The sequence below is a fragment of the Homo sapiens genome, chromosome 2 (assembly GCF_000001405.40).
Source record: "Homo sapiens chromosome 2, GRCh38.p14 Primary Assembly".
Lineage (NCBI taxonomy): Eukaryota > Metazoa > Chordata > Mammalia > Primates > Hominidae > Homo > Homo sapiens.
In genome coordinates this window covers 36818319-36829263 of record NC_000002.12, presented here as the reverse complement: position 1 = coordinate 36829263, position 10945 = coordinate 36818319, and the positions used below count along the sequence as shown (strand labels likewise).

Here is a 10945-nt window from a genome sequence, read left to right as displayed (position 1 = left end):
AATTCATGTAGAAAATCTGACAGAATTGAAGAGAGAAATAAACTCATAATTACAGTTGGAGACTTCAACATCCCTCTCTCAATAATTTATAGGATAAGTAGACAGGAAATCAGTCAGGATGTAGAAAACTTGAATCAACACTACCAACTGACTTGACCTAATTGATATATATAGACTACTCCATGCAACAACAGCAGAATACACATTTCTCCCCAATGCCAAGAATAATTACCGCGATAGATCATATTTTAGGCTATAAAAAAGCCTTAATAATTTAAAAACCATTTAAATCATAAAAGGTATGTTCTCTGACCACAGTGAAACTAAATTAGAAGTCAATAAAATAAAGTTATCTGGAAAATTCCCAAATATTTAAAGCTAACTAACCAACTTCTAAACAAACTAAGGGTCAAATAAAAATCAAAAGGGAAATTTAAAAGTATTTTGAACTGAACAAAAATGAAAACACAACATGCCAAAATTTGCAAGATGCAGCTAAAGCAATGCTTAAGAGAAATTTCTAACTCCCGTATAACTCTAAATTCTAAACTTCTCTCAATTCAATGACCTCAGTTTCCACTTAGAGAAGTTATAAAAAGAAAGGTAAAAATAAAATAAAGTAAACAGGACAAAGACAATGATAAAGAACAGAAGTCACTATATTACAAAACAGGGAAACAAAAGAACAAATCAATGAAAATATAAGCTGTTTTTTTTGAAAAGATAAATAAAATTTATAGACATATAGCCAGACCTATCAGGAGTAAAATGAGAAAATACACAAATTAATAAATCAGATATGAGAAAGAGAACATCATTACATATTTTAGAGACATTAAAAGGGTTATAGAAAATCTTATAAACAACTTTATGCCAATAAATTCAACTTAGATGAAATGGACACATCCTTAAAAGACAAAGCTCACTAAAGAAGAAATAGATAATCTGAATAGCCCTATAGCTATTAAAGAAATAGAACTGTTTGTTTAAAACCTTCCTGTGAAGAAAACTCCAGACCCAGATAGTTCATTGAGGAATTCTACCAAACAAAGAATGACTAGTACTAATTCTATACAAACTCTTCTTTAAAATTGAAGGGGGAACATTCCCTAACTTATTCTATGTGGCCTACATTTATTACCATCATACCAAAACAAGAAAAAGTCATTGCAAGACAACTATAGGTCAATATCCCTCATGAACATAGATATAAAAATATTTAATAAAATTTAGCAAATCAAATCAAACAATATATAAAAAGGATGATACAGCATGACTAAGTGAAGTTTATCCTTGTAAAGGTGTTTCAACATTTGAAAATCAGTGTTATTCACCACATCAACAGACTACGGTAGAAAAACCGAATGCTTATCTTAAAAGATGCAGAAGAGTATAGTATAATCTAGACACAGAGTATGAGTATTTTCATGAATATATGTGGTTCAGATAAAAGTGAGAGTGAATATCCCACACTCAGGCTGCTAGGTGCTAAGAATATGGAGAAATACAAGTTATTGTCAGCTTGACCTCAGTCACCACCTCCCATTTCTGTAAATGGGACTTATCAATAAGTTATTCCTGGAATTTGTTATAGGCTCTCTCCTTTCTGACACATCAGATTGTGTAGCAGTCACTTGTCTGATTTTTAAGAAGGCTTTCTACTGCTTAGAGACACGCTCCTGAAGTCTGTTCTGCAGGCTCTCCAGACGAGCTCCTGCCAGAATAGGTCAAGGAATGGACTTATAATGCCGCATTTCACCCAGGAAAAATTTTAAAAGAAGTCTGTGGTTAATGAGAAATGCCTAGTTCCTACAAGCTGATGGTGTTGTTTCCAAAAACAAGTAACGTCTAATGTGGTTCTTCAGTGAGAAAAGAGTACAAGATTTCTTGCCTCTTCCAAGAAAGTTATTCTAATCAAGTCATTTGAGAAGTTTCTATAAATACTGTTTGGAAAGTTCTAAAACAGTATTCTTTAATTAATTCTGTATTCCTGACTTCACATTTTAGACATCCTTATTTCATTTTCACTCCGTTATTCCGAATTTATAAATTTGAACTGTCTTCTTAACTTCACCTGATTTTGTTCCATGACTTTTAGCTCATTAGTGTCATGTGTGTTCTTCTATGAGGAGCAAACCTTAAAAAATTGGTGTTACTTTTTCTTCAAAATGTCAGTGTACAATTTTGTTGTATTTACTTAAATAATTTTCCAGAGACAGACTTGGTTTGGAACCTGACATTTAACAGATGTGTTTCTGAATCCAAGATAACCTTTAAAAAAACAAAAACAAAAAGACAAAAACAGAGGTGTGGCCCTGGGACAAGTTGTTTCACTTCTGTAAGTCTCAGCTTTCTCCTTTATGAAGTCATGCCTGGAATTCTGCTATTAATTATATATTTAAAACAAAAAAAAATCAGTATGTCGAAGAGATATCGGCGCTCCTATGTTTATTGCAGCACTATGCACGATGGCCAAGATATGCAATCAAACTAAGTGTCCATCAACAAATGAATGGATAAAGAAAATGTGGTACATATATGCAATGGAGTACTGTTCAGCCATGGAAAAGAATGAAATTCTGTCATTTGCGGCAACGTGGATGAGCTTGAAGGACAGTATAGTAAATGAAATAAGCCAGGCACCGAAAGGTAAATACTGTATGTTCTCATTCATATGTGGAAGCTAAAAAAAAAGTTAATCTCATAAAAGTAGAGCATAGAATAGTGGTCACTAGAGGAAAAGAAGGAGCAGGGGCAAGAGGGCATAGCCAGAGATTGGCTACTGGATACAAAAGTACGCTAGCTATAGGGGTTTTTTTTTGTTTGTTTTCGTTTTTTTGAGACAGAGTCTCGCTCTGTCGCCCAGGCTGGAGTGCAGTGGCACAATCTCGGCTCACTGCAAGCTCTGCCTCCCGGGTTCACGCCATTCTCCTGCCTCAGCCTCCCAAGTAGCTGGGACTACAGGCACCCGCCACCACCCCAGGCTAATGTTTTTTTGTATTTTTAGTAGAGACAGGGTTTCACCGTGTTAGCCAGGATGGTCTCGATCTCCTGCCCTCGTGATCCGCCCGCCTCGGCCTCCCAAAGTGCTGGGATTATGGGCATGAGCCACTCCCGGCCAGCTATAGGTTTATTATAATAAACAATAGTTTATTACATATTTTCAAATAGCTAGAAGAGTGGATTTTGAATGTTCTCAACATAAAGAAATGATAAACATTTGAGAAGATGACTTGATCATTATGCGTTATACACATGTACTAAAACATCACACTATACCTCATAAATATGTATAATTATTATGTGTCAATTAAAAAAATAATAAAATGGTGCCAGAAGTGTCACTGTGGGAGTTAATTGGGATAACAGATGCAAAGGCAGCCAAGATGGTGCCAGGCACAGAAAACCTCCTTAGGAAGAAACCCACTCAATTCCCTTTCTCCCATCCCAACCCTCTGCAAATCTTGGGCAGTTGTTAACAGTGTCCAGCCTGAAGCGAGAAACTTTACTCTGAGGAATTCTCGACTTGGTAACCAAATGCAACACATTACAAAGAACTCTTGGTTTAGAACCATACATAACCTGAATGTTTCCAGGTGACTTATTTAGAAACCTCCTTAGAAAAGAATCAAACTAAAGGAAAACTAATTTTATCCATTCCTAATTTTTTCCAGTAAATAAAGAGATCTGTTCAAGAGAATTTATAGGCAATGCCACATTCAGGAAAAAAAGCAAAGAAAGCTCCCTTTTAGTTCTCCAAATGTGCTTCTTTAAGATGCTGTCTTGCTCCTTTAACCTTAAAGATGAGTAAATCAGCCCAGGCATGGTGGCTTACAGCTGTAATTCCAGCACTTTGGGAGGCTGAGGCAGGCGGATCACGAGGTCAGGAGATCGAGACCATTCTGGCTATCACAGTGAACCCTCGTCTCTACTAAAAAATACAAAAAATTAGCTGGGCGTGGTGGTGCACACCTGTAGTCCCAGCTACTCAGGAGGCTGAGGCAGGAGAATCGCTTGAACCCGGGAGGCGGAGGTTGCAGTGAGCCGAGATCATGCCCCTGCATTCCAGCCTGTGTGGCAGAGTGAGACGCTGTCTCAAAAACAAAAACAAAAACAAAAACAAAAAACAAAGATGAGTAAATCAGCCAGGTATGGTGGCTCATGCCTGTAATTCCAGCACTTTGGGAGGCTGAGGTGGGAGGATCACTTGAGCCCAGTAGTTCAAGACCAGCTTAGGCAACAAAGTGAGACCATGTCTCCACAAAAAAGTTTAAAAAAAAAGCTTGGCATGGTGGCACATGACTGTGGTCCCACCCAGCCACTTGCTAGGCTGAGGTGGGAGGATCACCTGAGCCCAGGAGGTCAAGGCTGCAGTGAGCCATGATTGTGCCATTGCACTCCAGCCTGGGCAACATAGCGAGACCCTGTCTCAAAAAAAAAAAAAAAAGTTGGGTAAATGCCAACTGTGAGAACCGACCCTGCCCTATCAGTCTCCCATGACAGACATGGATAATTGATTTTAGCATCTCTTTCTTTAAGAGAATCCTAAAGATTCAGAATCTTTCTTCCTATGGTTATTCAGGCAATCATGACATCTCGACCCGCCAAGGCAAAACCTGCATATTATCCCAGCCCGTGGGCTTTTAGGGAACCATCCCGAGTGTGGTGAAGGCAGTGTAATTGCAAACATTCACAGATCTGAAGGAAGAATTCTTCGTTCTGCTCTTTGCTTCTTAGTGAGAAACAGTTCCCTGGTCACTGGCAGATGATCTGCAGCTGGGGTAGGATTCGGCATTGTTATGGATGTGTAGGGGGAGGGGTGTTCAGAAGCCTCCTGGGAGACAATGTGGTATGGAGGGCATCTTCCTAGGGCATCTCAGGAAACAGTTGCTGTCAAGCAGCCCCTAATAAACAGTGATTACTGCTGCAGTGGGCTTGCCACGCTGCCACAGGTTTGGCAGGTAAAGACATGATAGACCCAAATGGATTCAGACGGTGTATTACTTATGTAGTCAGCAAAAGCAAGATCAGCATGATGCTAGCTCCCTCATCCCACAGGACAGCACAAAAACAAGGAGCCAGGTGATGGACGTCATGTGTGGTGGGATACCAATTCTAGAAGGCAATGAATGATTTTTTTTTTTTTTTTTTTTGAGAGATGGTCTTGCTCTGTGGCTCAGGCTGGAGTGCAGTGGCGTGATCAATGAACACATTTTAAAGCCTGCAGCTGGGGTGGGCGTGGTGGCTTATGCCTGTAATCCTAACACTTGCAGAGGCCGAGGCGGGCCGACTGCCTGAGCTCAGGAGTTCGAGACCAGCCTGGGCAACAGAGTAAAACCACGTCTCTACTAAAATACAAAAATTAGCCGGGCATGGCGGCATGTGCCTGTACTCCCAGCTACTCAGGAGGCTGAGGCAGGAGAATTGCTGAAATCTGGGAGGCAGAGGTTGCAGTGAGCCGAGATGGTGCCACTGCACTCTAGCCTGGGCAACAGAGCAAGACTCTGTCTCAAAAAAAAAGAAAAAGGAAAAAGAAGCCTGCAGCTGTACTGTAAAGAGGAGCGAGGTATAAAGTCCTAGCCTTCACTGAAACCAGGAAAGCTAAAAACAAAGTGCTTTGGAGAAACCTCCTACAAGATAGAGAGAAAGATGGATGACAGCGGCCTTGGGACAGCTCCCCACAAACTACATGTCTCGCCATGTTCCTGGGATGATATCACGGTATTCCAACAAGACTTAGGTCCCACTGCAGCGGAGCCTGGTCCACGTGGCCTACGTGGAGGCATGCAAGGTTGCCAGGGTACCGGGCCGGAGCCATTTCCCTAGAGCTGCCACCTGACTGTGCTCTGTGGAAGGAACTGGACATGGGAAAGCTTTTTACCATGGAGTCTGGATTGGAGGGTGCCTCATCGTCCTACACTGGCTTGCACCCAAGGAAACTCTCCTGAGATAGAACTACAGTTTGGTCAAGAAAAATTTCTCAGATCAACTTGTTTTTAAAATGCTTAGTTTTTAAAAATATTCAGAGTCCCTTGAAATTCAAAACAATTCATTAATGAAATGACTTTTTTAAAAAATTAAAAGTGAGGTTTCCACATTAAGGACTCCTGCTCTTTCTTTTCACCCCTCAGCTGCCCAGAACATGCATAGTCTCTGCCCCTTGTTCTGTATGAAACCATTTTCAGAGCCTGGAGTAACTCTTGAGCTGGCGAGCAACCCTTATGTAATGATCAGGGAAATAAGACAAGGGACATGGAGGGCAAAAGGCAACTGACAACTTCTAAGTAACTTTCCAGTCTGCCACTGGAATCCCATGGACCCGGGACTCCCTGTTGCAGGGTGAAAAACAGGGTGAAAATATGGGCACAAGACGTGTAAAGCTGAAAAGATGGTTCTGTAATATGTGACTGGAAAGATGGCAGCTGGGGGAAGAGGGAAACAGGGCTGAGAGAAAAGTGGCTGATGAGACCAGGGAGGAAAAAGCAGACAGGGCAAGGTGGCTATTCTGTACTGAAGACAGCACTGAATCCGGAGTCAGGAGACCCAGGTTCATGGCCCAGCTCTCCGTCCTACCTGCTGTGTGACCTCAGGCAACTCCTTAATTTCTCTGTGTCTCACTGTTCTCATTGGAAAATTGAATAGTAATTGAGGCTGTAATGAATTGTGAAAATATGTTTGGCACATGGCAGACTTCCCATTATGTTCGATTGTCTTTCAAGACCAATCTCTCCCAAAAGAAGTATGGAACAAGGATGGTTTTGAAATATGTATTTATTCAACAACATGAATTTTGTGTGTATTCAACGACAAAGTGTATACAGTGGCTAGTTCAGTTCATGGCACTTTGGGACTTCATAACTGAGATCAATGATTGGTTTTACTATTGTCACCAAAATTTCCCTAGGCCTTTCAGCCTGTCTGTCCGTGCAAACGAAGTTACATGGACAATAACTACTCAGTGATGTTGGCTTGTCTTCACTGGCATACTGCAGGACCAAGTATTTAGGGGGTTCTCTGAGGGATGCCCCTAATCTGCTCATGAACAAGCCTGCAGGCCCCTCTGGGACAGTCTTGGCTGCTGTCCGTGTGGGCAAATCCCTGCTGAGGCTGACACAACTCCACTAGTATTTTGCTTCCAGAGATCTTCACTGACTGTCCAGGATTAGAAAGTCTCCAGGATGAAAGGTTGATTTTCCACCTTAGGAGAATGCCCCCTGTCTGAAGGTAGAACAGGCATGTGGGTGTTCCAGGCCTTGCATTTAGGCCATAGAGCTGGAAAGGTCCCCTGCAGTTTCCACACTGCAGTTGTCATCCAGTTCAATGAGGGTGTTTTCTTAGAAGAAAACAAATTACACTGACTCTTTGCCCTTTAGGAAGCTCCGTCTGCTCCTTTGTTTTGCTTGGTGTGTGTCTTAGACAGTCATTACTAAGTTTGCAACCTTTTGATTTGTCCCTGTTCCCTCTTTGGCTTTAAAACACTGCACAACCCTCCTATTGGGGTTGGAAAGAAACTCCCTTTTACTATGATTTCAAGGAGAACTTGTAGAGTTACTAACGTCATTAAAAAAATCATTATCATGGTATCAGGGTACAGGTTTAAGAATGCCTTGGGGATGTCAGACCAACAACAATTCAATTGGTCTTGGGTCTTGTTCTGGCGTTTGCACAGTTTCTATGGCTTACGAACCCTCCCAGTTTCTGTGCCCTGGACAGTCATGTATGAGCTCTTTGTTGAGAACCCAGATTCCAGTTTGCCGTTAACCTGAATACACCCTGCTCACCTCAACCATGTGTGAGGCTGGAGTTGTTGCAGAAAGGAGCTATTCAGTGGGGATTGTGTTTTTTATAGCAGGATCTCAGCTGCCAAGCTGGATAGAGTATTTGTTTACTTGGGCAGCTTATTGCCCGCAGGACCTGTTTGTGTAAGAGGGATGGCAGGGATAAAGTTCAGCTCAGTATTTTTCAATTAAAGGACATTAAACAAAAAGCAAAGACTTCCTTGAAACTGTGGTCTTTGAACCTTATTGGTTTTCCATGTGGATGGTTATTTATATAGGACATTTCTCCTCAGCTAAGCCTTTATACTAGAAACAGAAGTGGATCCCAGAAGCATCACATCTGCCGCCCTGGCAGTCTGAATAGCTCTTCAGCAGTTAATGGTGTATAACAAGTAACATCTTGTAGTCATTGCAGGCAAGAGAAGTGAAAGGGAGTCTTAGAGAGACGGTCATTGGCTTTGTATGGTAAAGCTAAACAAAACAAAGGAAGACTATAGAGCTGGAAGACCATCACTCAGCCTGCGTTTGGCCTTCCAGACTCAGAAACTTGAGGACATGCATTCATTGGCATTCAAAGCAACTTGATGCTTCAAGGAACTTCAAAAGGTTGTGGGTGATCAGATAGAAGAATGTGGGTGCTCACCTCCTTTCAGCCACGTCAGCTTGGATTGCTGGGTGGCCTTGCTGAAGGGCCTGCATTGTGGGCTCAGCCCCTAAGGGGAGGGAAGTTTCACTCTATTCCTTCTCTCCAGAGTTGTTCACCTACTTCCAGATGAAGACCATCCTGGAGGAGGGTGGAGTGAGAGGGTTCCTGGCTCTCCTGTCCTGCTCCTGTCCCTCGTCCTGTTCCTGAGACTCTGCTGTCTTCCTGATCCTAGAGTTCATGAATTATTCCAGTTATCTTCAAACAATTGCCTTTTTGCCTGAGCTACTACAAATTGAGTTTCTGTTCCTTGCAGCCCAGAGAACCTTAACCATCACAGCATTAGGTGGCCTGGCTCCTGCCTCTCTAGCTTCATTTCCTGGCCCCTTGCCTTAAGTTCCACACTGTCATTCTCTCTGGGCCCGACACTGTTTCATACCTCCTTGCCTTTGCTTCTGTCATTCTCTCTGCTGGACCACCTTTTCCACTTTTCTTTGCCTGGTAGAAATGGACTCTTCCCAGAAAACCTAGCCCAGGAAGATTTCCCAAGCTTGCTTGTCACCTATCACATTAGTCACCTCTCACCAGTCACATTATCTGTTTATTTGTGTCTCTCTCATTCTAGCCTATAGTTTCTTCGGGTAGGAGCAAGTCATATTCCTCTTCGTATCTCAGTGCCCACCTCAATGCCTGGCATATAATAGACAGCTAAAACATGTTTGTTGAATAAAACTCAGAAAAATAAACAAACAAAAAAAAGAGTTTGCATTTCTGGCTGGGCACGGTGTCTCACGCCTGTAATCCTAGCACTCTGGGAGGCCGAGGTGGGTGGATCACTTGAGGTCAGGAGTTTGAGACTAGCCTGGCCAAGCCCATCTCTACTAATAATACAAAACAAAATTAGCTGGGTATGGTGGTGTACGCTTGTAACCCTAGCTACTTGGGAGGCTGAGGCATGAGAATCACTTGAACCCAGGAGGCAGAGGTTGCAGCGAGCTGAGATGGTGCCATTGCACTCCAGCCTGGGTGACAGAGTGAAACTGTGTATTAAAAAAAAAAAAAATTGAGTTTGCCTTTCTGCAGGAGAAATGAGAACATAAGGTGAGGAACAGAGTTACCCCATGGGTAGATACCCAAAGAAGATTCTGGTCCTAGAAAAACCATGACTGTAGCATATAATGAATAGGAGGGCATTGGGAAGGGTGGTGTAGTCTGGATGGAATAAGAGCCTCTCTTTCTCTTGCCATCATATTCTGTTTCTTTCCTGCTGAAATGTCTGCCTCGCATTCTACCAGTACCAATGTATCTGTGGTTGGCGCCATCAGGCGACTTAGGGTCAAAGTTTTCATTTTCTGGATCCCATGTCCTTAATGATGTGTATAGGTTGTGTCTCCTCGTGAGAAGGGATCAAGTTTCTGGAGAATAGGTGGGTCAGGGTTCTGTATCCAGAGAGCCTAAGTCTATTTGGAACCAGGGAAGGCCCCAAAAAGGAAGTAGCATTTGGACTGAGACTTGAAGAATGAGTCAGAGTTTATCAAGCTAATAGGGGAGTCCAAAGTCTTCAATCATCTACAGGGACTGTGGACTTCAGCTGCAAATCACCCACTTTAAATGAGGGCAGGATGGCTGTCCAGAGAATCAGGATGAGTGATGGGAGAAAGTGGAGTTTGCATTGAATATTTAACAGACTCTGTTCACATTGTACATTTCATAGACTTTGGGAGTACATTTTTTGGAATTATATGTATATTTTAAATTGAGACACTTAATAGAGAACTCCCTATGCAGCCACTTGGGTTATTTTTTTGGGCCACTGTTGTAAGGAGCCAAGTGGCTGCTGAGAAGTTGGAGCCTGGATTCAGGTTGTCTGAGCTTCCTTTTCGGATCTGCCTCATATCAGTGATAAGACCTTGGGCAAGTTACTGATGTCTCCATGCCTCAGTTGCAGGATGTGTTCAGTGACAATAAGAAGAGTATGTTTGCTATGGTTTGAATGCATCCCCCAAAGTTTATGCAATGGAAACTTAATTCCCAATGCAGCTGTGTTGAGAGGTAGGATCTTTGAGAGGTGATTAGATCAGGAGGGCACTGCCCTCATAAATGGATTAATGACGTCACGGGAGTGGGTTTGTTATGGCAGGAGTAGATTCCTGATAAAAGGATGAATTCAGCCTCCTTTCTCTCTCCTGCTCTCTCTCACCATCCTAGTCTTAGGTATTCTGTTATAGCAGCATAAAATGGACTAAGGCAATCTTTCTCAGCAAATCATAGGGATAAGTGAGTTAATACATATGAAGTCCTCAGAACACGGCCCAGCATATGACAAACACTCACTGTCAGGCATTATCCCAACTTTATTTCTCATGAGATTGTTTGCAATTGCCAGTTATGCACTTTGTGCATAATTCCATGATAGCAATTGTATGATTTTAATTACTCATTTGTGTGTGGTTTCTCACTGGACTGTGAATTCCTCAAAGGCATTACTTGCATAAATGTCTGTTTTCAAGGTAATTGAATTCGT

The 10945-nt window shown here is 42.1% G+C and overlaps 1 annotated feature.

Annotated features, from left to right (window-relative positions):
* Positions 1484-1778: a silencer, noted in NCBI's record as "tiled region #5815; HepG2 Repressive non-DNase unmatched - State 21:Repr". NCBI's record gives its function as "represses a minimal TATA promoter and a strong SV40 promoter by Sharpr-MPRA in HepG2 cells {active_cell/tissue: HepG2}" and the evidence as "EXISTENCE:reporter gene assay evidence [ECO:0000049][PMID:27701403]".